General features: G+C 43.0%; 1 protein-coding gene and 1 long non-coding RNA gene across 2 annotated transcripts in view, besides 4 other annotated features; one reads left to right on the forward strand and one right to left on the reverse strand.

Moving 5' to 3' along the window:
• Positions 12,238–12,954: an enhancer, noted in NCBI's record as "NANOG hESC enhancer chr1:184350504-184351220 (GRCh37/hg19 assembly coordinates)". NCBI's record gives its function as "activates a minimal SCP1, AML or CMV promoter by ChIP-STARR-seq in naive H9 embryonic stem cells {active_cell/tissue: H9 hESC(naive)}" and the evidence as "EXISTENCE:reporter gene assay evidence [ECO:0000049][PMID:30033119]".
• C1orf21-DT (C1orf21 divergent transcript) lies at positions 16,621–17,572 on the reverse strand. Its single transcript, NR_172919.1, has one exon. It is a non-coding gene; the product is annotated as a C1orf21 divergent transcript (long non-coding RNA).
• Positions 17,383–17,442: a silencer, noted in NCBI's record as "silent region_1637". NCBI's record gives its function as "represses an Ori minimal core promoter by ATAC-STARR-seq in GM12878 lymphoblastoid cells {active_cell/tissue: GM12878}" and the evidence as "EXISTENCE:reporter gene assay evidence [ECO:0000049][PMID:35858748]".
• Positions 17,533–17,642: a silencer, noted in NCBI's record as "silent region_1638". NCBI's record gives its function as "represses an Ori minimal core promoter by ATAC-STARR-seq in GM12878 lymphoblastoid cells {active_cell/tissue: GM12878}" and the evidence as "EXISTENCE:reporter gene assay evidence [ECO:0000049][PMID:35858748]".
• Positions 17,673–17,932: a silencer, noted in NCBI's record as "silent region_1639". NCBI's record gives its function as "represses an Ori minimal core promoter by ATAC-STARR-seq in GM12878 lymphoblastoid cells {active_cell/tissue: GM12878}" and the evidence as "EXISTENCE:reporter gene assay evidence [ECO:0000049][PMID:35858748]".
• The window catches only part of C1orf21 (chromosome 1 open reading frame 21), a 241,991-nt gene continuing 233,625 nt past the window's right edge, over positions 17,897–26,262 (forward strand). The window contains exon 1 of the mRNA NM_030806.4: positions 17,897–18,236. The gene's annotated coding sequence lies outside the window, so the exon portion shown is untranslated. The remainder of the gene's footprint in view (positions 18,237–26,262) is intronic.

Raw genomic sequence — 26,262 nt, forward strand, 5'->3', positions numbered from 1 at the left:
TGGGGATGTCATGTTTAATAATGAGTTTCTGTTTGGAATGATGAAAAAGTTATGAAAATGGATAGTGGTGATGGTTGCACAACATTGTGAATGTACTTAATGCCAATGAACTGCATACTTAAAAATAGTTAAAATGGTGAATTGTATGTTATGTATATTTTACCACAATAAAAAAATATATTATTGACTATCAGCAGGATAAAATCCAGGCTGCTAAGATTGGCCAATAAGATCTTTCAAGTTTTTGTGGTATATACCTAGAAGTAGATTGATAGATTATATGGTACTTCTAATTTAACTTTTTGAAGAACAGTCAATCTGTTCTACACAGCAGCTGCGACATTTTACATTCCTACAAGCATTGCACAAGAGTTCCAATTTCTCCATATCCTTGCCAATACTTGTTATTTTCTGGGATTGGGGGTGGTTAATAGTAGCCATCCTGAGCCAGGCATGGTTGCTCACACCTGTAATCCCAGCACTTTGGGAGGCTGAGGTGGGTGGATCACCTGAAGTCAGGAGTTAGAGACAAGCCTGACCAATGTGGTGAAACCCCTTCTCTACTAAAAATACAAAAATTAGCTGGACGTGGTGGCATGTATCTGTAGTACCAGCTACTTGGGAGGCTGAGACAGGAGAATTGCTTGAACCCAGGAGGGGGAAGTTGTAGTGAGTGGAGATTGTGCCGCTACACTCCCACTCCAGCCTGGGCAACAGAGCGAGACTTCATCTCAAAAAATAAAAATAAAGAATTAGTAGCCATCCTAATGATGTGTAGTGGATCTCATTGTGGCTTGAATTTGCATTTCTCTAATGAGTAGTTGGTGTTGAGCATTTTTTTCATGTGTTTATTGGGCATTTGTATATCTTCTTAGGAGAAATGTCTATTTAAGTCCTTTGTCCATTTTAAAGTTGGGCTGTTTGCTTTTTTGTTGTTAAGTCATAGGATTTCTTTATATATTCTGGATCTTAATTGCTTATAAGATGCATGATTTGCAAATATTTTCTCCCATTTTGTGGGTTGCCTTTTCACGTTGTTGACAGTGTCCTTTGATGTACAAAAGGTCAGTAAATAATTTAAGCCAATAATTGATATTTTTAATTGGTGTGTTGGAAGTTGGGTTTGAATGGGGCAAGGCCAAGAGGTAGAGAGACAGGTTAGATTACCAGGCAAGAAATGGTAAAGTCTGAGCTGAAACAGAGAAGGAATGGAAAGGAAGCCTATTTAGGAGGTAAAATCAACAAGATTCTGGTGACAGTGTAGAGGAAAAAGGAACAGAGGGAGGACGTGTTTGGAAACTACTTCGATACTCAGCAAGAGATGATGTGGACCTGCACTGTGGGAGCAGCGATAGGAGCAGAGAAGAGGGCCAAATTTGGGGAGAGTAAGTGCTGATTGGACAAGTGTGGGAATGGGAGGAGTGATTGATGATTCCAAGTTTGGGCAACCCAGGAAAATATTACCTTAATTCATAGTTGACAACCTAAATAAAAGTATTCATTGACACAGACCTGTCTAGAAGTATAGATTCCTGTAGTAAAAAAAAATTCACTTGAGCCTGCCCTGAATCCCCCCTCCTCACCTCACTTTCCACTAAAATCAGTTTTATAAAAGTAACTTCTGGGTTTTATCACTGCTGACAATGCTAGCCTCCAATCCTTTTAGGAGGTGAATTGGATAATAAATAAATGTAAAAAAAAAAAATCCCAGGTTCAAATCTGAATGCTATTTACTAGCTTTGGGAGGACTTTGTATAAGTGACCTAAATTCCATGAGCTTCCATATCTTCATCTGTTAATTGGGTATAATAGCACCTTCCTCACAGAGATGCTGTGAGGATCAAATGGAAATGATGCAAGTCAAACAGTGCTGTGCCTGGCATGCAGAGAGCCTCAGGACATAGACGCTGTTGTAGGAGGTGCTATTTCACCTCCATATCCAATGGCTGTGGGGAGACAGAGTGGCTCAGCAGTGAAGGTGATATGTGCAGGCCAGCACCCTCTGCCTAGAGAGCACGATGAAAGAATCATGGCCCTGGAATCAGAAAATCCTCGGTTTAAAGACCTGGGAGGGAGTGACAGTAAGTCAGCCCGAGTGGTGAAGGAAACATTTGGCACTGTAGTTTTTATTGTGCCTGTCTTCAGATGCATTACCATCAGTGGAAGTGGCAGCTCCACTCGCTTCGAGCCCAGATCTACAGAATCAGCGTTGAATCTACACCCACAACAATGTGGTATCAGCATGGAGGATGCTCAGGATTGCATCCAGAATGTTCATGGTGCCGAATAAGAGCTTCTTGGCCACTCTGAACCCCAGGCAAAACCAGAGGAGCGTGGGTTACAGCTGTCCTGCCACAGCAGTGCTTCACGAGGTTACTTCCTAAGTTTCTCTCTACCAACAAGAGGTCACAGCTCTTTTGTAGCTGAGAATGGAAAGGATTTTGACATTGTCACATTTAAATACAGTAAGCACTTTCTGCCCCATGGGTTGTTAGCAATGGTGATGCCAAGCATTTAAAGCTGTTGTGCCTCATCTAGCTAGGCTTCTATAGGGAAACATAAAGGTCTAGCTATATGTACATAGAGAGAAAGACAGAGAGAGGTTAAGAAACCAGATATTTATATTTCTGAAATAGGTTAACCCAAGCTTTCAAAAACATATTAAAACTGCCCCCTTCCTCACAAAAAGGCAATATGGCAGTTTTATGATTTTTTTTTGTTTACTTCTCTTACTAATATGAATTAGCTTGTCACTGTATTTTGTCTGTCCTCAAAGGAGTTACATACAGTGGACAGTACTAATCACAAGCATGTGTGTTCCACAAGCTAGCACTGACTTTTTACATTTGAATTAATTGCTGATATCAACAACTCAAAAATTGCATGTAAAAATCTATTTCTGGCCTCTCTTGAGAAACCATATGAGATTCACCCCCACAGATGTCAATGACCACCTGAAACTGGGAGGTGGCTGGCCCCTGCAGATGGTGGAGTGGGGCATGCTGTGATGCACCCCAGTCCCTACAGCCTGCCCTATCGCCCAAGTTACTTCTGAGCCTTTATAGGCATGTGAGTAAGGGACACTTATCCACTTTCTGCACCATGTCATGTACAAATAACCAGCTAACAAGTAATTACGAAGCACCTACTAAATGTCCATTACGGTCCTGGTTGCTCTCTGAGTAGGAAAATTTCAAGAAATTGGGAAAATTCAAAAGTTAGAAGAAAACTCACCACTATGCTCAAGGCACTTACAGCCTAGTTCTGTGCCACCCAATACAATATTCCCTAACCACGTGGGGCTCCGGAGCACTGGAAATGTAGTTAGTCTGAATCAAGCTGTGCTGTACGTGTAAAATACATGCTGGATTTTAATGATATTTAATGACATTTTAGTGACACTAGATTTTAAAGATATTTTGAAATGATAATATTTTGATATATTGGGTTAAATGCAATCTGTTATTAAAAATAATTTTATGATTTTTTTTTTAGTTTCCAATGTAGATACTAGAAAATTTAAAATAACGTGTGGTTTGCATTATATTTCTATTGAATACCATTGGTCTTGTTAGTGAATGTGTGTTCAGCAAAAATATACCCAAACTCCCAGTAGTTGGGGTGATATATACATCCTAATGGAAATGGAATATGAATCAAAATAGGTGAAATGTGACTAGATCTGTGTCTAGTACCGCATAGAACCTGGAACTGCAACAAGATGTCTGTCCTCTAATCTGATTCTCGACCTTTTCCTTCTGCTTTAACTGACACTTCCTGGTAAAGATGATGGTGAGATGGAGAATGGGAAGGAGGAGGTAGCAAGGTTTAGGATTTCAAGACTGCTGGGAAGTTGTGTTTGCTTGGGTCCTGTAAGAAGCAAATGCCAACTTGGGCTTAAATGCACATGGGTTTTTATTAGGGAAAATGCTTGTGGGAAAGAAAATAGGGAGAGACCCAGAGAAGGCAGGGAGAGTAAGTCTAAGCCCTCAGAAGGAGAGAGGGAGAGAAAGTTGAGTGGAAGCATCCCAGGCTGCTGTGCAGCCTAAGGCAGGTTCAGCAAAGCATGGGAGAGACCCAGGGACAAAGTCGGAGGAATCCTGTGTCTCCCAGGAATGGGGTGCCTTAGTATCCCTACTGCACTCAGTCATTGGCTGGGAGTAGCCTATGGGAAGTGTGGCCTCTGCAGACGCACAGCAACGGGTTTCAGGGCACAGTAACCTGGGGCCCTGGGTCCTGTGTGTTCTCCCTAGTTGGAGGTCAGCCAATGCATTCTCAGCAGCTGCAGGAGCCATCTATGGTATCCAGTGGTCAAACTAGAAAACGCATGAGAATATTCCCTGCAAAAGAGCAAAGACTGAAAGTGGCCACCACTTTCTCTCATCCTTAGGATACCAGTATCTTTACCTGCCCACCTAGGTCTTATGGTTCATCCTTCATTTATTTGCATGGCTCCCCTCTGAAAACTATAAAGAAATATATATGTACCTAAAGAAAAAAGAGTAACTCCAAAATATATTAATTATAGTATACGTTGAAGTGCTAAATGAGTTTACAGCGAGCAGAATAGGGGTTTGAACTAAAAATCTTAAAAGTCACTTCCAATTCCAACAGCTATACTTCTTTAACTATTTTCAGGGAAATATTCTCAAAGGCATCAACTCCTTTTTCAATAACTGGTTTTTTTTCTGTCTATACTAAAGTAAAATGTACTCTTTATAGAAACTTTGAAATTTAGAGAAAATGTATTTTAAAGAGAAATCACCCCAAATCCTACCACATAAAACTTATCATTAACATTTTATTTTTCCAAAGCACACTTGTATCTATTTTAACTTGATCATAGTATAGATACAATTTTACATATTCTTTTGTAGTATAATGTATCATAAACATTTCCCCATATCATTAAAAATTCCTTAACAGGCTGGGCATAGTGGCTCATGCCTATAATCCCAGCACTTTGGGAGGCTGCAGCAGGCAGATCACTTGAGGCCAGGAGTTTGAGACCAGACTGACCAACATAGCGAGACCTCATCTCTACTAAAAATACAAAAATTAGCTGGGCATAGTGGCACACACCTGTAGTCCCAGCTACTCAAGAAGCTGAGGCAGGCCGGGTGCGGTGGCTCACGCCTATAATCCCAGCACTTTGGGAGGCCAAGGTGGGTGGATCAACTGAGGTCAGGAGTTCAAGACCAGCCTGGCCAACATGGTGAAACCCCGTCTCTACTAAAAATACAAAAATTAGCCGGGCGGGGTGGCGGGCGCCTGTAATCATAGCTACTCAGGAGGCTGAGGTGGGAGAATTGCTTGAACTCAGGAGGTGGAGGTTGCAGTGAGCTGAGATTGTGCCATTGCACTCCAGCATGGGAGACAAGAGTGAAACTACGTCTCAAAAAAAAAAAAAAAAATTGCTGAGGCAGGAGAGTCTCTTGGATTCTAGGCTGCAGTAAGCTGTCATCTCACCACCGCACTCCAGCCTGGGTAACAGAGCAAGACACTGTCAAAAAAAAAAAACAACCTTCTTAACATATATTATTATACATCTCTGATTATTTTCTCATGGTAAATTCTTAGAAGGCTAATAATTGCTAGGACAAAGGATGTACAACTTCTAATTTTGAACATAGTGATAAATTACTTTATCAGTGGGGTAAGAGTGCCTCTTTTTCTAAACCTTCCACAACTCTAGAGAACTACTTTAAAAAAATCTTTGTCAATTGAATAGACAGAAAATGGCCTCATATTTTCAGTGTATTTCCTTTTATTACTAGTAACATTGAACTTTTCATTTATTTTATTAATAATTTATATTTCCTCTTTTGTAAATTATTTCTTCATATCCTTGATTGACCAGTTTTCTATTGAATTGCTGTTTTTTTCTGGACTTATAGGACTCTTTCTGTTTGTTTGTTTTGAGACAGAGTCTCACTCTGTCACCCAGGCTGGAGTGCAGTGGCGTGATCTCAGCCCATCGCAACTTCTGCCTCTAGGGCTCAAGTGATTCTTGTGCCTCAGCTACCACAGTAGCTGGGACTACAGGTGTGCACCACCATGCCCAGCTACTTTTTCTATTTTTAGTAGAGACAGGGTTTCACCATGTTGCCCAGGCTGCTCTCGAACTCCTGGCCTCAAGATATCCTCTCACCTCAGCCTCCCAAAGTGCTGGGATTACAGGCGTGAGCCACTACGCCCGGCCTAGGACTCTTTACATATTAAGTGAACTAATCATTTATCTATCAAATATATTACGAATGTCAGTCCAGTGGGTCATTTATTTTCCATTTTTGTTTATTATGTTTTTCTGACATATAATTGTTTTATGTATGCAAAACTAGCAATCTTTTCATTTATGGTTTCTGCTTAGGTAAGCCTTGCCTATTTCAAGATTATATACAAATTTCCTTATGTTTTTTCTTCTACTGAAAGGAAAACAAAAGTGGATTTACTTTTCATATTCAATATGTTATCCATCTGGAATTTATTTTTATATATTAGTGAAGGTAGGCAGCTAATTTTCTTATTTTACAAAATATTGCCAGTTGTTCCCAACACTATGGCATAATCTATCCTTTCCTATTTATTTGAATTTTCATCTTGCACAAGGATAATGTTTTAAAAATTGCTGTGGGTTTTAAAAATCCTTTTGTTATTCATTTCCAGTTTTATTGCAATGTAATCAGAGAACATGGCCTAGATATTTGTCTACTTTGGAAAATATATGGACATTGCTCTTTTGCTAAGTATAGTGGGTCTCAGTCACGGTGAACTGTTATGTTATGTGGTATGTTGCAAAGTAAAGTTTGACTATTTTAAAATATTTAAACTTGTGAATGGTGTACATTTTTATAAATTAGGATTTTGGCTTTTTTTTTTTTTTTTTTTGTCTGAGACAGAGTTTCACTCTTGTTGTCCAGACTGGAGTGCGATGGCACAATCTCGGTTCACTCAACCTACACCTCTGGGGTTAAGCGATTCTCCTGCCTCAGCCTCCCAAGTAACTGGGATTACAGGCATGCACCATGAGGCCTGGCTAATTTTTGTATTTTTGGTAGAGACTGGGTTTCACCACGTTAGGCAGGCTGGTCTCAAACTCCTAACCTTAGGTGACCCACTTGCCTCGACCTCCCAAAGTGCTGGGATTACAGGTGTGAGCCACTGCACCCAGCCAAATTAGGGTATTTTTGATGTCTCCCCAATAATAATATAATCCTTACTCACCAGCATTACAGTTCTTTCTAGTGGGACAGACTGGTGGGAGCTGTATGGAATCACAGCATGGAGTAACAGAAGTGCTGGGTGGTGGCTGCCAAGGTTCCTATGCGTTGGTGTCCATGAGGCCTGGCCATTGTGGTTTCTGTTTTTGAATTTCAAGAAGGACCCTGCTTCCCGTGATGCTGCAGAGAGTAATTACGGTAATTCTTTCTGGTCCCTCTGACTCAAGCCAGTATGATTAAGCCTCTATTCCTCACAATTAAAAAAAAAAAGCCTAATTGAAACACCATGTACATTCTTTAGGGCTGAAAGAGGGTCCAGTTCATATCAGATAAGCTCAAACATGGGTCTCTAAGGAGGCAAGCAGCCCTAGCCGACCGGGAGACCTCTACTGAGTAGCAGCTCCAAGGAGATGTTGCATAGCTGGACCAGGCCTTCTCCCCCAGGAGTTCTCCCATGGTGACAGGGCCTGGCACTGCCTTGGGATCTGAATTCTGAGCTTTGCTGTCTGGTACACTTCCAAACGGATTTAGTAAGTACCTATTCCCCCCTCCCTGGTTATAGTAGCTCCAGCCCCTCTAGCCACAGTTACAGGAAGATTCTGCTGCAAACCTCCTTCTCTGGCTCTTTGGGTCTTTCTTTTGCATTTGGTGAATTGAGAGTTTTCCTTCTTTTCTTTCAAATGCATTGCACTTCATTGAAAGAGAGTATCTAATACATATTTTGTGGATTGCTTTGGAATGTGGTAGCACCTCAATTGAGTTTCTAGGATGGTCACAAATGTCCCCCTATTGTTTTAATTCCTTTAAGAGTGGATTTTGAGGGAACATGGGCGAGTTAAGCCTTTGTGTTCCAATTACCATCATGAGTTGAAGATTACTTTTCCTGGTCTAATTCCTTTTTTCTCATTTTAAACTAAAAAGTTTTCAGTTTAAAATAATACCTCTTTATTGAATCTGCCCAAGTAATTAAGGGAAGAAAAGTACAATGAATAGGCATCAGTTGGTAGAAATACTAGGACATTTTTAATAGCTGAAATGAAACATATTAAATATAATTACAGCCTGAGCAACATAACAAGACCCCCATCTCTACAAAAATATTTTTAAAAAACTTAGTTGGCTGTGGTGGCATGCGCCTGTAGTTCTAGCTACTCAGGAGGCTGAAGTGGAAGGATTGCTTAAGCCCAGGAGTTTGAGGCTGCAATGAGCCATGATTGCACCACTGCACCCCAGCCTGGGCAACAGAGTGAGACCCCGACTCAAAAAAAAAAAACCAACCAAACAAACAAACAAACAATAAAAACATACAACGGATAATCTCAGAATGGTATGCAACATATTCTTTGAATTTTGCTCAATTTTTTTCTTTGTACCTTCTTTATTCTCTCTCTTCTCCCTTGTAGTCATTTCATGTCAGGATACCTAATGGGTGATATTAGGAGTAAATAACTCATTCAATAAACACATTTGGAGCCCCACAATTTGTAAAACTTTGAGCAAAGAATTGTAGGACATGCAAAGGGTAACTGAGTACTGGCTGTAGCAACTGCCATCGTAAAATTGTAAACTTCCACAGGACAGCACATTAAAAAAATGCTCAACATGATTCGTTATTAGGGAAATGTATTTGAAAACTATAAAGAGCTACCATTTCACATCCACTAGGATAGCTGGAATAAAAAAGTCAGGCCAGGCACAGAGGCTCACGCCTGTAATCCCAGCACTTTGGGAGGCCGAGGCGGGCAGATCACCTGAGGTCGGTGGTTCGGGACCAGCCTGGCCAACATGGTGAAACTCCATCTCTACTAAAAATACAAAAATTAGCCTGGCAGGGTGGCATGCCCTATAGTCCCAGCTACTCGGGAGGCTGAGAATTGCCTGAACCTGGGAGGCAGAAGTTGTAGTGAGCGAAGATCATGCCACTGCACTCCAGCCTGGGTGACAGAGTGAAACTCGGTCTCAAAAAAAAAAAAAAAAAAAGTCAGGCAATAAAATTGTGAGGATGCAGAGAAATGGGAGCTATTCTATGCTTTGGAGTGATAGGAATGTCCCAAAATTAGATGGTGGTGATGGTTGCACAGTCATGTAAGTATATTAAACACCACTGAATTGTGTAATTTACAAAATACATATCTGCTGTGTATTAGTCAGAATTATAATGAATAAACCAAATTTCTGAGGTTTTCAAAAAACCTCGAAACTTTAACAAGAGATGAAGAGGGGAAGAGCTCCATTCTAACAAGGGAAATTTTGGAAAGCTTCTCAGAACAAACAGCATTTAAGCCAGATCTCAAGGAACAAGGGTTAACATGATAGCCATTTACAAAACACCTGTATCTGTTCTGTAAGTGTGCAGAGTACCAGGTCTTTATTTCAAATTCTCCGTCTACATAATATGTTCTCTTTGTTGCAGATGAAGACCATCAGAGAGGTCAAGGTGGCTTGCCCATGGCCAGAGAGCTAATGAGTGTCAGGGAAAGAGTGAGATTGGCTGAGAGGCAGCTCCTGAATTGTGTAGGGGTTTGAGTAGTCTACGCAGAGGGAAGGATAAGTGCAAGGGTGAAGGGGTAGAAAACAGCAGAATATGGATGGGAACCAGCAAGGCAGCCAGGTGATTGGGCTATTTGTCCAGTTAGTGTTTGGAACCAGGGATCTGTCTGAAAAAGTAGGCAGGAGCCAATTTATGGAAGGTTTTGCATGCATGATGGAAAAGTTTAGGCTTCATTTTAAACTCTTCCAGGAGCTGGGACTTTTAAGCTGGAACAGATCTATGCTTTAGAGACAGGGCTTTAGCAGCAAGGATGATGCACAACCACAGAGCCTAATGTCAAGACAACTGGTTAAGAATCCAGGATAGAGAGACTGAGGTCTGGGCTAGGGTTGCAGAGCTAAACAAGGAGGAAAGGAGGAAGCTGATAAAACCATCATTTCAAATTGGTGCAAGCATTTTAAGTGTTTACATTCCTTTCCATTAACATTTGGCACTGCGAATAAGGTGAAATGACGTTCTTCATCAACAGCGTTATTTTGGACCAAGGACTGATTTAATTAAACTGAGTGCTGATGCATGGAAATACTATCCTGTCCTAAACCTTCTAGCCCTCTTTGCTCTGTTATAGGCTCCTACCTCATGAGGTTAATAGTCTTCTGGCTAGGAGAAGCGAGGGGGAGCTTCTGTTAGCCAGTAGGTGGCATGGTCTGAGAACGTTAATCCCCTTTTCCTTGTCCTGGCCCCTCACATGTCATAAAGACTACACCCACGCAGGAGAAGGTGAAAAGTATACTGCAGATATCTATCATTCAGCAGATTCCAGGAGATAAATTGTTCACTTCTATACCCAGAGTCACAAAGGTTTAGAGGCCACCATCAGTTTGGGGTAGTGGTTTAGTACCAGGCTTAAGAGCAAATCCCAGCTCTGCCACTTATAGCTGGGCACCCTTGGCTTTGCTCTACTTACTTAACCTTGCTGTTCCTTGGATTTCATATCTGGAAAATAGAGATAATAATAATAACATCTTCATAGCACTGTTGGGAGGCTTAAATCAGTTTAAACAGGCAGTAAAGATTAGAAAACTGCTTAATACACTAATGTCCAAAAACTATTTGAAATTCTTCTTTTGGGGCTTTCCAATCCCTTCCTTTCTCCTTTTTATAATACAATCTTGAAATAATAGTTTGCTTATATCTCTATGGTAGCAATATTTTCCATTCACTCTTAAGATAACTTGATTCTCAACAATTGCATCTGAAATCAGACCATAGTATCAGAACCAGTATAGCTTTTGAAAACTAGTGTAATCCATGCTAAAGACTTACTAGCTGCTTTAAGGGTTCTTGCTTCATTATGATGAAGAAAACTGCAACTTTACTCCCTGTGTTTATCTATCTATCTATTTATCTATTTATTTATTATTTGAGATGGAGTCTCACTCTGTTGCCCGGGCTCTAATGCAGTGGCTCGAACATGGCTCACTGTAGTCTTGACCTCCAAGGCTCAAACAATCCTCCAACTCAGCCTCCCAAGTAGCTAGGACTACAGGTAGGTGCATGCCACCACACCTGGCTAATTTTTAAATTTTTTATAGAGATGAAGTCTCCCTATATTGCTCAGGCTGATCTTAAACTCCTGAGCTCAAGCAATCCATCCACCTCAGCCTCCCAAAGTGCTGAGATTACAGGCGTGAGCCACCACACCCAGCCTGTGTTTATCTTTTCAATACTGTTTCACTTTCTGAAAAGGATGGGGGAAGGAGAGGACATTTTCAAAGAGGTAAAGCTGAGAAAGAGATGAAAAATAATGTGGTTTTGTTTTTTTGTTTCTTCTCACTCTCTATTTCCTTTTAGCCACATCCTTCTTGCTGTGTCATGGTTGCTGAAATTTCTGGATGTCAATATTTGCTTTCTATCTCCACTAAGAGGAATGCACATAGTAACTTAATTGATTGATCCATCAACTTCCAAAGGTATATTGAGCCTGAGCCCTGTGAGAACAACAAGGTCTCCTGTTTTCATAGAGCTTATAGTTGATTGGAGAGACAGGGCCAGTGTGTGAAATAACAATACTATTAGCATGTATAAGCTGGCAGCGGAATAATACTCTAAGCAGGTATCAGTAAGGGCCGGATGACTTGAGCGTCTGGGGATTCATCAGTTATACCCACAGTGGTGGGGCTGTCAAGTAGCCTGGGAGAAAAGAGCTCTACACTGGAATGCTAACTTCAATATCTGGGTGAAACAAAGGCCAGAAAGCAAAAATGGGGGGAAGCCGGCAACCTTGAGAGGCTCTGCTGACCGCTTAATAGTATCTGGATTTACCTTCCCTCTGCCTCATTTTGAGTCTTACTCTGGTGATGGGCTCTTACACTCCTTACTTCAAGGGAAAATGTTCCATGTTCTCATCTTCTATCTACCCAACTCTTGAAAACGACATAAAAGAGAATACAGGCCAGGCGCAGTGGCTCACGCCTGTAATCCCAGCACTGTCGGAGGCTGAGGCAAGAGGATCACAAGGTCAAGAGATCAAGACCTCCTGGCCAACATGGCGAAGCCCCATCTCTACTAAAAATAGAAAAAGGAGCTGGGTATGGTGGCGCATGCCTGTAGTCCCAGCTACTCAGGAGGCTGAGGCAGGAGAATTGCTTGAACCCAAGAGGCACAGGTTGCGGTGAGCCAAGATCGCGCCACTGCACTCCAGCCTGGTGACAGAGACTCCATCTCAAAACAAAACAAAACAAAACAAAACAAAACAAAAAACAAACCAAAAAAACCCCTAAGGAGAAAGCCAAGAAGAAAATAAACAGATAACAGATATAAACAAGAAAGTAAGAGCTATCTAAGGTCTGGAAAAGCTGGTTACTCAGAGTAATTCACACATCATTGAAAGACCAATTAGAACCATTAGCAAGTTGTTAGCACTGACTTTAAACTCTGCTCTGATTTAGCCTGGAACCATCCAGAAGGAGCTGCGTCACCATAAGTGGCACCATTATAAAATAAAAATGCATAGACAGCCCTCCATTCACAGCTGCTTATTGGGTCCTTTACTTGTGTGTGTGCTGTGGTATCCCCAAAGGAAGATTTTAAACACCCCCCACCACACACACACACACACACACACACACACACACACACACACACACACAAAATCAAGCCTGGTGGAGCTAATGTAAAAGATGTGGAAGATCCCTAACAGTGTAAGGCTGTAGAAGATCCTGGATACTTCAAAAGTTCAGAAACTCAGAAGCTGAGATCACTCACTTAGGAGTTAGGGTTTGAGCCTGGTCTTGAAAGACGAGTAAAACTGAGGCAGAAAAACAGAGGAGATTGAAGAGAAAACATACTTCTTAACAGTTAAGGCTGGGTGCAGTGGCTCACGCCTGTAATCCTAGCACTTTGGGAGGCTGAGATGGGCAGATCATGAGGTCAGGATATCAAGACCATCCTGGCTAACATGGTGAAACCCCGTCTCTACTTAAAAAATACAAAAAAATTAGCCTGGCATAGTGGCGGGCGTCTGTAGTCCCAGCTACTCGGGAGGCTGAGGCAGGAGAGTGGTGTGAACCCAGGAGGCGGAGGCTGCAGTGAGCCGAGATCGCGCCACTGCACTCCACCCTGGGCAACAGAGTGAGACTCTGTCTCAAAAATAAATAAATAAATAAATAAATAAATAAATAAATAAATACAGTTAAACACATGGGCTCTGGCATCTGACTAATGAAAATCAACTACTTTACCTTGCACTCATGACTTCACCCCTCCGTGCCTCTGTTTCCACATCTGCATGGGAATGATGATAATATTAGCATCTATCTGAGTGTGTTGTCAGGAAGATGAGTTAGTTTGTATTATGAATTACATGATGCCATGCTTGACATACAGCAGACAACCAGTGTTAGCTGTGATTGCATGGAGCAAATGGAAAGAAAGCACATTTCAGAGTAGTCTTCAGCTTAGGGTCACTTATTTTTGAATGTCTCTGCCAAAGCTACTTTTGAACTTGATTATTCAGAAAAATTAACTTTATGGGAAAACCTTTAAAAAATAAACCACATAAAATGAATTCATTTAGATTTAGATGAGAAGTTATAGGAGAGTGGTGTGTTGCTTTTACTATCTTTTAAACAATCATATATTTTCCTTGACAATCAATGATAAAGGGAACCTATTGTCTTGGTGGGTTCAGGCTGCTGTAACGAAACACCATAGACTGCACGGTTTAAACAAAAGATATTCATTTCTCACAGGTCTGGAGGCTTAAAGTCCAAGATCGTGATGCCAGCCTGCTCAGGTTCTTGGTAGAACCCCTCTTCCTGGCTTAGATGGCTGTCTTCTTGCTGTGTTCTCATATGCGGGTGGGAGGGAACAAGCTGTCTGGCTTTTCTTATCAATGCACTAATCCTATCATGAGGACCCCACTCTCAAATTGTCAAACTCCAATTGCCTCCTAAAGACCTCACATTCTAATACCAACACATTGAGGGTTAGGGCTTCAAACATTCAGTTTGGCCTACAAAAGCCCATGGAAGGGCATATCATATTTAAAAGAAAAAGAAGAAAGAAATAATTCAAACCATTATGTTATGTACAGTCCTACAGATGCAAGTCTTTATCAGCTAAAGCTTTAGGACTAAGAGAAAATTGATAATGAGAGTGGTGCCTTTGAAGATTAAAATGTAACTTTTCTGGGCAAAAAGAATATTAAATTTTTGGAAAATCATATTTAGAGTGTTTGAAGATATGGAATCCAGAGATTCTGGTGGTGTGGAAGGGTGATGCAACCAGGGGGAAAAAAATCATGTTCTTCATTCTTTTTATGTAAATATGCTTATAGTCATCTTACTAATTATAAATAGCTACAGAGATTATTCTGTGATAAAATGTCTAGTAGATTTAGCTTGTGCACACCAAGCAGATTTGCAATTTGTGGCCACTCCTGTTGCACAGTTAGTGAGTTGGTGTGCATACCAATGCCCGATGTGCCTCTCCAGCACCTTAGTGGCCAACCTGTCTGTCCCCTCCCCTCCCATTTTGTTCTTCTCTCCCTCCTTTCCTTCTGCAGCCCCTATAGAAGTCCCCAGTCCCACTGCCCCTGCTGTGGCCAGGTGCAGGGAAGTGTGTGTTGGTGGTGATGGGAGTCTCCCTCTCACCTCTTCTAAATTTGTGGGGGAGGGGAGCAGAGGTGTCCCGGGGATCCCAGGTAAAATGAGGAACATTTCACATTGAAGCAATGTTTATCAAAGCAGTTAATTTCTATAGAAATTCCAGCACCAGAGAGAGTAGGTTTACTCAAAAGCAAATGGGGCTTAGACCTTCATTTACATGAGCCCAATCAAGGGGTTTTTGTACTTTTGTCTTTCTTACATTGAAGGTAGCTCCCCAAATTGTTTCACGACCTTCATTTACATTAGCCTCTCCTAAGGGGTTTTAGTACTTTTGTCTTTTTTAATCTTGAAGGTGGCTCCCCAAATTTTAAGTGCTTCAAGTCCCACAAAATCTGGATTGTCTCTGGTCAGCATGGTCATTTAATTGTGGGATTCCTTCCATGGGCTTTTGTAGGCTATCCTGAGAACCTTACTACTGTATAAAATGTTGCTTCTGTGGAGCAGTTTCTATGAGAAACAAACAACACTTACAACACATATACAATCTTTTCTTGTATTGGTAAATTGTCTGATCTCTAACTAGGTACTTAATAAATGTTTGTTGATTGAATGATGATGAAATAAATGAAGGGAAAACAGACAAACTTGAGGCACTTATTGAATGCTTTTCTCTAGATGGTGGAATTATGATTTTCATTTTCTTTGTACTTAGCTTTTTTCAAATGTTGAAAATTTCCACAATGGACCTGTATTATCTTGAGTAATCTAAACCTAGCTTTAAAAGTTCGTAGTATAGATGTTCTTTCATCTACACATGTATGAAGTGCTTCTTCTGTGGCCTTCGGTTAGTTCTAAGGATATCAAGCCAAGCAAACCCCATAGCCTTGCCCTCAAGAAATCTACAGTACCAAGCACTGTCTGAGCCCTGAAGGGGTACACAGGTCAACATCACAGAGCTCTGTCTATTCAGGGTGGTCTATGTAGATGAGAGAAGGAAAAAGGAGGGGGAAGAACAAAACTTATTGTGCTCAAAGATCCTTTTATATGGATGTACACACACACACACACACACACACACACACACACACACACCCCTCAGTTATGTATTTATTTCATTTTACCACAGGCAAAAGTTTCAGGCAGGGCGTAAAAACCCAAGGGAAGAGTGGACTACATTTGAATAAATCCATCAGCTGTGTCCATTCTCCTCCCTAACTTTTCAGAAGGAATGGAAAGAGAATAAAATTCTACCAAATTTGAGTTTAAAATAATCAAGTCTGAAACAATAGCTTCTATTTATTGAGTTCTCACCCATGTGTCAGGCACTATGCAAAGTGTTTTACATGCATTGCCACCTCGTTTTATTTTCTTTTTACTTTCACAAGCTTATGAGGTAGGAACGATCATTATCAATGCCTTTACAGATGAGGAAAGAAAGAAGAAATGAAACAAGTCACCAGTGGTGAAAGGGATGGGGCTGGCTGCCCCTGATTGAAATCTCAATTTATCTACCCTCCCTTCTTAACCGCTCCTTTCCAAGAGGCTAGACTACAAAAAATTTGGGCTCCAAGAAGTATGAACCAGAATATGGATATTTTGTAAAAATGGAATGTAAGTTGAGGTTCCTGAACAATGTGATGTTAGGCAGGGTGCGGTGGAATTGGCCTGTAGTCCCAGCTACTTGGGAGGCTGAGATGGGGAAGATCCCTTGAGGAGGATCTCTTGGGTTCAGGAGTTCGAATCCAGCCTTGGCAGCAGACCCCATCCCTGAAAACAATAAAAATTAAAACAACAACAGTGGGATACTAGTCTTTTAATTTGAAAAAAAAAGGGGTGGAGAAAGGGAAAACCAGTTTTCAAAAAAGGCCAATTTCCTAGACATTAGTGGTTGATTACTAACTCATTTCATTAAACTAAATTATGAATTGGCTTTTCTCGTCAGTGTCACCACTCTGATGGCGTTCTTTTCCATTTTCCATCTTCACCCTGGCCGAATGTGGGAAATGATCTGGTTTGTGCATAATCCGCGAGGCCCAGGGAGGATCTTTTGCCCCTATTGTTTTCTTGGGTGTTCTCACTCTGGGGGCCTGACATTCCTCGCGTGTCTAAGGCAATGAGGGAGCAGTGAAGCGCGGGGAAGCCGCACAAAAGACATCCAAAGGCTATCAATGGAAAAAGATCAATTAGGTGCACACAAGAAACACCCAATATGCCAGGGAAGAGAAAAATACCCTTTTCCAGAGGGTGGGAAATTGATTGAGCTTCTGTGAGGGTCCACAAAGAACTGGACGGATGCAGTGGTGGATGGCGATCTCTCTGGACCACTCCGGACGCGCCCAGCAGACGCAGCCTACGCCTTTAGGTCCTAGGAGGCTGAGAAGGGTGGGGAGAGGGGGGCAGCACGATCTTGTGTCTTTCCTCCCCGTGCCGCCTCTACCGAATCGCGGATGCTTCATTAATCTTGCAGGCGCCGCAGCTCGGGTCAGTATGGAGGCGGATCGGTGGCAGAGCCCGGGCCTCTGGGCTGCGCCCGCCCGTTCAGCCTGGCCCGGGAGGGGAGCGGCCGCGCGGTGGGCCAAAGACGCCCGGCCTTCCCTCCGTCTGCTTCCAGCAGGCACAGCCGGGAGGCTGGGCTCAGGGGCTGACCCGAATCTCCCCTAGAGCTGGGCCCACCCGGCTGCCCCCCGAGCAGCCTCGCCGCTCCCACGCCACCGCCCAAGTGACAGGCCCGGGAAGGCCGGACGGGACGCAGTCTTCCCGCCGGGGTCTTCCCTCCGGCTGGCCGGCCGCTGCAGGGCGCGCGCGCACACACGTACACACACACACACACCTGCCCACACACACACACACACACACACACACACACTGCCGCCTCCTTCCCGCCCCGCAGCCCTAGCAGCCCCCAACCCGCTCCCCAGCGCGCTGCGCCCCGGCGGCCTCCGCAGGCCCCGCCCCGGGGAGGAGAGCCAGGCGCGCGCGGGAGCTAGGCTCGGGGAGGGGCCGGCGGTGGGGGAGTGTCTGCTGCCCCCGCCCCTCGAGTGAGTGACTGAGCGAGGAGCTCCCCTCCCTCGCTCGCTCCTCGCAAGCTCCCGCTCGCTCCCTGCCCACTCCCGGGGGGACGTTCCGTGCCGCGGCCGCCGCGGCCGCTGCTTCTTTCACACTTTAGTTGGGAGCTGCGCGCCGCGCTCAGTTACTGGAGAGCTGGCCGCGCGCCGCCGCCTCCCGCACGCTTGCACGCGGGCCCGGCTTCGGGGTTTTGGGTTCTTACTCCAAGCGGCGGGGAGGAGGGGGAGCCCCGGACACACTGTGGGGAGGAGGAGGAAGAAGAGGAGGAGGGAGGAAGAAAAAAGACGAGGAGGACAGGGGCGGGGGGCGGGAGGCTTGCCACCTTCAGCCCCCCCGCGAACGCCCAAGGTAAGTGTGAGCCATTGCCTGCTCTGGGGCGGGGGGAGCTGGCGGTGCAGCCCGCCCCGGCTCGGCTACCCGGGCATCCCCGGGTGGGCAGGGAGGGAGGCCTGCGGGGTGTCTGCCGCACGGAAGGGATGGGAGCCGCGGTCGTGGCGCTGCCTGCGCGGGGCCCGGGCCGGGGCTGCTGCTGGTGCGGGGCTGGCGGGGTTGCTGCCAGGGACGGAAGCTGGGGTGGGGGAGCCGCGAGGGGCGTCTGCCGGCCTGGGCGGAGGGGCTGGGATGTGGTCGGGGCTGCTGACGACTTTCGTCACATCGAGGCCTGGGTGGCTGGTGTTAGACACCCCTCCCTTCCCACCCGCACCCTGCCGCCCTCAGCCTTCCTGCTCTCCTCTAGCTTTGCATGTAGCCACCGTACTTTGCAAGCCAGAGCTTGAAAGGAAAAACACAATTTAGGATCCTTTGCTAAGTATCCAAGTCCCTTCTCTCGCTCCGACTGATTGATGTGTTTGTGTGGGTGGTTTGACCCCCGGGATTTCTGAAGTTTTGACCTTTTTGGGGTGGCTCGTTTCGTTGCATCTGTTTGCCCACCTCGGTGTATTTATTATTCGTGCCCATGCGAGGCAGCCAGAGGGTGCTTGGTTATTGTACACGAAACAGATTTCACTCTCCTCTGCAGGCAGTTCGCGAAGTGCCGCCGCCGCGGCTGCCTTTGGTCTGCTGGTTAATGTCCTTTCCCTATCATCCACCCTGCTCCCTCCCTCTACGGAGGGTTAGTTTTTGTTTTTGTTTTTGTTTTTTCCTTTCCACTTACTGTTTGTGTGAGAGAAGTCCTGGGCTTAAGGGCTCTCAGCACTCGTTCATTTCTCTTCTAAAGCTCTGAATGGCTCAGGCATGTCGGTAAAATTTGGGGTGGTCCTCTTTGCTCCAAGAGTTGCATGGCCAAAGATAAAAATATGCACACATAAACACGCATTAATTCTGAGAGACGGCAAGCAGTTTGAGAGAGAAATAATTTGTTTTCAATAGGAAGTCGGTGACCTATGGGATCTCTTCCATTGCCGGTGGGTTAGGAAAATTGTTTTAAAATAGATAGTGCTTGTGTTGTCCGTGGCTGGAAGACAGCCATAGTTCAGTTACTGAAGCAATTCTGAAAGTGATACACCCTGGGCACCCAGAACCTCAGTAAAGACACACGTAGTCTGACTCAGATGTTAGGAAGGGGACTGACACACCATAGATTCCATGGAGTATTTTTTTCTTTCTTTTCTTTTTTTTTTTTGTAGGAGACTGTCCAGACCGTTTGGGGAAATGACAAGTTCATTACACAGACAGATGTAATGAACACCTCCCTATTCAAGGGGATGGGTTCAGCTTCTGCCTAATAGGAATAACCTTTTGATTTGATAGAATTGGAATGTACCAGGATAGAAACAAACATAGGTGGAGTGGGCCTGAGCTACTTCAGCACTGTTGTGGGGAGAAGGTGATGTTTCTGAAGGGTCTTTTAAGTTCAAGATGCTGAATTTGGAGTTTTCCCCCCTTTTTCATATTGTCTAGAGCTGGATTGTAGGATCAATAGAACATGTTCCATGTTGGCTGTTTGGAAATGTAATTGTCAGACATGGAAATTAATTTGGATTGGATCACCTATTTTTGTTTTGCTACTTACAAAGTAGGAAGTACCAGTGATAGGACAACGGAGTGTATTTATAGGCGTTAAACCAATGCTGGGACTGGTACTTCACAGATCACAAATGCAGCGTTGAAAGAGGATGTCACTCAATGTTTACTGCTGTGCAAACCTGCTTCAGAGAACAGTCCTGGAGGCTTCTAAAAAGGGCAACAAAGACCAGTGCGCTCAGCTCTTGGGTGGGTGGGTGCCTGAGGAGGGGCGGGGTGCTTCTGTTGTCTAGCTTTGTCACAACTGGGCATGTTTCCAAAGAAAAATGGCCTTGGGTGGTAGAGAGGTCTCACATCCTCCAGTGTTAAAAGTTCATCCTAGAAGGACCTTAAAGTTCCAGCTTTCCTTCTCAGGGTTGACTTAATTTAACTCCGAGTTTAGAAAACTGATAATTTTGTTTTCTTGGCTAGACATTTATCCCTCCTCCGCCCCATCTCACTTTATCATTCAACATGGGTTTCTGGGAATTAATAGGCCACTGTCTGAAGGGGTTTGATTCTTGAAGAATCACAGGGCATCATTCAAGAGCTTTGGTACTATTTGCTATGACTTATTCAAAAATCCTACTAAGGAGGAAGGTGGTTTGCTCTATTATAATTTCCAAGTGAATCATGCCTCAGTACTGTGTTGCCTTTGTGACCAGGCAAGCTTTGAGTTTTACATTCTGAGTGGCTTGCTCCAGGCTCTAAGCAGCCCCCTTCTATAAGACGTTTTTTTGTTTTTGTTTTTTGTTTGTTTGTTTTTGTCTAAAGGAGACACCAAAGGCTGGGAGAGGGAATGTCATGTCACCTTCCAATAGGGCAGGAGAAGGCAGGTGACATATTTACAGAAGAGTCCTAAGGTGATAAATATGACTGTCTTCATTTGAATTTATCAATACAACTTACAGCCATATAATGAGGCATCTTGTGTAGCTCACATGTTTAAGTACAGAGGTCTTGGGGTTCTGTATCCTTTGAAGTTTCCTTCCAGCTCTACTTTGAGGGTGGCCCTAACTAAAGGGTAATCGTACAGTAATTCCGGAGGGAGATTGTAGGATACTGCCAGTTAACAGAGAAATTGGTGAAACCTCACTGTCTTATGATACTTTGTTTTCCTCCAGCTTCTTAGAACCAAATATAAAGAGAGGAGAGAGCATTGCTTTGTTTGTATTTTCTCTCCTGATGTTTAGCTGGTATCTTAGAGTGTGGTCACTGCTCATTTCAGGTGATTTAAACTGTTTCATTCTGCACCTCCTCATGGGTGGAATGGAATCCAGACGCATCAAAGAGTTAGGAAAGGGTATGTACACATGGGTAAGCTTCAGACTCCAGCAAGTGCTCTGAGCAGCACAGTGCTGATTATCAATCAGGAGTGAGGGTATGGCAGGTCTGATCTTACAATGCAAGTTTACATGAAAATAATTTGTATGTGAAAGTTGATTTGCCTCCAGTTTTTTAGGAACATATTGACTACGTAAATCTACTTATACATCTAGTCAATCAGAATTCACTCAGAGATATTGGGTCGATCAGTCTTCATGAAAATATACATCTCCTAAAAATACTATTTTGGAAATGGATATAGTGAAGCCTCCCTCCCAAGGTGAGGGAAGGGTTACATGATATATAATACAGGTTGGAGGACCCTACACAATGTACGTGGTGGGTACTCAGATGACCTTTTTTTTTCCAGCTTTACTGTGTAAAGATACTTTTATGAATAGGCTTTTAGCAAACAAATACATCTTTGGCCACTTTATGGTCCTTCTTTGAGCCTCAATTTTAAAAGTCCCGTAGCATGCAGTAAATAAAAATTATGCTTAATTGGGTTCTTCATAAAACACAAAAAGCAGATTGCAATAGACCAGTATAAAGTACTGCTTAGAAAACTGAAAAAACAGGGATAGGGCTTGTGTACAAGAAAGATTGCGACAGTGAAACTATATTTTAAATAATGGTGACAGTTTTGACTTCCAGAGATCATAATTCAAGAGCTTATCTGAAGTGGCATGTAAATTACATACATACATATTTTTTAAAGTAGGCAATTATTTAGCTTGACTGTCTCGGTTCTGAAGTTTAATTTTACAAGTTATAGTTGCAACAAGAAACAACATGACATGCTGTGGTTATGCAATTATGACAAGAGTGGTTGGAGGTAAACTGGGCTAGGATAAACATAGAAATGAGCACACAACAGTGTCTCCAGTCACCAGGTATTAAGAAGTTTCTTTGCTTTTTTGTTAACTATATTACTAGAAAATGTATTTCCCAGGTTGTAGGCTAATCACCTAAACTAATGATTGCTTTCTCTTACATTTGTGAAAGGAGATGCAGCTTCCCCAGTCTAAAATGGAAGCTGAGAAGACTAATTGGCCAAGCTACTGGAAGGCTAGGCCCTTTTGCTCATCTCAGCAACCCCCATAGCAGCTAGCACACTACTTTGCACTTGGAAGTCACTCAATGAGTGATTGAATGGAATGGAATTTACCTAATTAGTTAAGATCTGCAATGTGTCAAAATTTCCTTGGAGAAATACATTAGATGTGGACTTAAGTTTTAATAAATGTGTATGGTAGTTTATTAAGAGCCCCATATTATGCCTCAGGTAGGATTTTTAAATGTTGAGACACATTTGACAGGAAACATACCAAGCATGATGTCCTCTCAAATTATTGAAATTTCTTTCTTTCTTTTTTTTTTTTCGAGACAGAGTCTTGCTCCGTCACCCAAGCTGGAGTGCAGTGGTGCAATCTCACTGCAATCTCCACCTCCTGGGTCCAAGCAATTCTCATGCCTCAGCCTCCTGAGTAGCTGGGATTACAGGCAGGTGCCACCATGGCTGGCTAATTTTTGTATTTTTAGTAGAGACAGGGTTTTGCCATGTTGGCCAGGATGGTCTCGATCTCTTGACCTCAAGTGATCTGCCCACCATGGCCTCCCAAAGTGCTGGGATTACAGGCGTGAGCCACCGTGCCCGGCCCCCAAATTACAAGAATTTCTAGTTAGGAGCATCTTGATTTGGAATAGATATAATTTCTGTATTTGACAGGCGTTCCTTCCCTTATGATTGTAGCTGTGGTCTTCATCTTATTTGCCTCAGGGATTTGGTGAATAACAGTGCCTAATATTTATAGTGTGCCTTATGGTTTTCAAAGTCCTTTCATGTAACCTGTCTCATTTGACGTTTGGCTGCAGCCGTAGCAGTCAGGATTTTCCATGCTGGGATCTTTCCCAGAATGTGCCTGGATCAAGGAGTGCTGGAGAGGTCCAGGGAAAGCTCAGGAAGCCCTCCACCTCTTGATTTATTAGATTCACTGCTGCTCCCTCTAAGATAACCTGAATAAAGCAGGAGCTAAACAGTGTGTACACATGGACGTTTAGAGTGGAATAATAGACACTGGAGGCTCCAAAAGATGGGAGGATGGGAGGGCGGCGAGGGTTGAGAAATTACGTATTGGGCACAATGTACACTATTTGGGTGATGGGTACACTAAAAGCCCAGACTTCACCACTACACAATATATCCATGTCACAGAACTGCACTCCTATCATCTAAATCTAAATTTAAAAAAAATAATAACTGAAGTAAAGGAAAGTTGAGACCTGTTAGTGCACTGAGCCCACTCAGGCTCCCAGCATCCAGTGGCTTTCCCCCTATACCTGTTCTGTCTCTTGGGCTGGCTTTGGCCTCTTAGTCCACCTTTGACAAGTATCCCTTTCATCTATCACTTCCTTTCTGAAGATTTTTCATGTTTTTCTGGCCCATAGATTTTTATCCATAGACATTCCTCCTTTTTTTTTTTTTTTTTTTTTTTTCTTGAGACAGGGTTTCATTCTGTCACCCAGGCTAGAGTGCAGTGGCACAATTTTGGCTCACTGCAACCTCTGCCTCCCTGGCTCAAGTCATCCTCCCACATCAGACTCTTGAGTAGCTGGAGCCACAGGTGCACACCATACACCTGGAGAGTTTTTGTGTTTTTTTCTAGAGATGAGGTCTTGCCATGTCGCCCAGGCTGGTCTGGAACTCCTGAGCTCAAGCGATCCCCCTGCCTCAGCCTCCCCAAGACCACCGCAGCATCAGCCACTGTGTCAGGCTCCCTTCTGCTTCCTATCCCACACCTTACTTTTGCCTGCAAGACTTTATTGTCTGAATGTGTCTGAATGAGCTTTTCCAGTACAGTATTTTAACCGTATCTCCAGATCCACTGTCTATCTGGCTCCTCCCACCTATCTGCCTGACAGTAGACTTCTTGCTTCCAGCCCAGTGACTCCCTTCTTCCCTCAGGGCCCCTGTCCTACTTTGCCCCACACCTCCTCCCTTCTTCCTCCCACCCACTTCTCTCCATCAAGCTTTTAGATCTTCCAGCACATACCTGCCTCTGCCTGTTTCTCAGGCTCCCGCCATCTCAACACATGTGTTTATAGTATTCATGAGTTGACATCCACATACTTTATACCTTGTAGAAAAGTGGAATTAGAGCACCCCCAAGTTTAGGGATCTTTTTGCCTTTGTTTTCATTTTTGATTCTAGTATGTTATATTGTTGACTTTGTAAGGCTCTTAAGCCATTTATTAGTAGGTGAGTACTTTGCTTCTTCACTTCTCTTAGCTATTACATTCTCCATTGGATAAGCTAAAGGAAATATCTTGATGATTATTGTTATTTTAAAAGATTTGGACAACAAATCTGGAAAAGCATTCCAGAGATTTTCATAATAGCACCAAAGGAAGACTTTATTACACACCAAATTCGGCTTGCTAATCACAAAAGTAGAATGGTTTATTTAATTTCATCTTCATTACCTTTTTTTTTCTCCTTTGGTTAAGTAAATGTTGGTTAAATAAGTATTCCTGCAACTTGAACTAATTTTTTCCAATTTGTTGTAATTTTACTGCTCTCCATGAAAATTTTATAAATTCATGGGACACATTTATGCCAAGTGAAGATTCTTTAGCTAACACCTAATGTTGTTGGTTTCCTCTATAAGTTTGTAGCCTATATCAGCCCTATCAGTAGGGTCAGTGGGGAAAAAAGTAAACTGAGCACTACTACTGGAAAAATATATCCCATTGACTCACTACATATGAATTTGGATTGGTCTTTTTAGAAAACTACTTCAAAAGTAGATCCAACATTTGTTATGCAATATCCTGAGTGCTTTAGGGCTTTTGGAAAAAGGTACTTTAAAGCAGAACAGGGAGATGATGGTTTTTAAGTAATAATTCCTTTTCTTGGATGGATCTGTATTTTATTTGAGTGTCATGGATACTGCAGCAGTTTCAGTTCATTGTTAAACCACATGTTAGAATATATTTTACTTTGCCTGGTGACTTATGGTTTTTCCCACCTGAACTGGGTGAGGAAAGGCGATTGAGAAGTTGATTGTTTTCACTGAAGTGTGGGAACCTTTTTCATACCCATCATCATAGATACAAGTGCTAAGGGATGTACTCTCAACAAACCATGACATGCATGCATATCATAGCCATTCCTAAAAGCTTCTTCCTGAATTCCACAGTTGACAAGGAGGTCTAGTAGAGCCCCTGTATTAGCACTATGTCCTTTTACATGAGACAATTGAAAGGCCAGGTGTAAAGTAAGGAGATGCTGCGGGCTGCCAGGCTGTGATTTGCAGGAAACTTCTCAAAGACACAGATAGTCAGGGTGACTTCAGTGGTTCTATCTCAAAGTTCTGCCAAAAGCAGTTTTTCTAAGATAATTTTGTTAACAGTTCTTGCAATTAATAGGTTATAAGGAATAAGCAACATATATCTCATTATATGTTTCAGGTGGATAATATTTTGATGAAGGAAGTGAGAATCCAGGAACATCTCTTGAGTTGCTTAGTAGTTGCTGAAAATTCAGATATTCTGGTTTGTGCCAGGAATCCATGACAGTCTAGATGCGACTCCCAAAACAAATTTTATGCCTCCCTTCCATGGCCTCCCCAACACCCACCCCTGCCTCACCCTGGGATATCCTTCTTCCCCTCTACTGTGTCTCTTGAGATCCAAGATATTTCTCAAATCTCACTTCAAATCCCACCTCCTCCAAGGAGCCCTTTTTCTGCTATAAGAGTGGTTTCTCCCTTACCTTCCATGAACTGCTGTAATACTTATTTTAGGCTTAATTTATTTTATTATTAGTTTTGATTTTTATTATATATATTTTTGTCCCCAGCCAAATGTAAACCCTTCTATTGTGCCCACTGGGCCTTAAAAGTAGATTGGTCTAAATAAGTAGTTATTGATTGATTGACAGCTTGTCATTGATCCTGAGGCTCACAGTTTCTGTCTATGAAGACCTTGCTCCCGTTTGAAGCCTTCTTTAATATAATGAGGAAGTATAGTCTGGAATGAGAAAAGA

The sequence above is a fragment of the Homo sapiens genome, chromosome 1 (assembly GCF_000001405.40).
Source record: "Homo sapiens chromosome 1, GRCh38.p14 Primary Assembly".
NCBI lineage: Eukaryota > Metazoa > Chordata > Mammalia > Primates > Hominidae > Homo > Homo sapiens.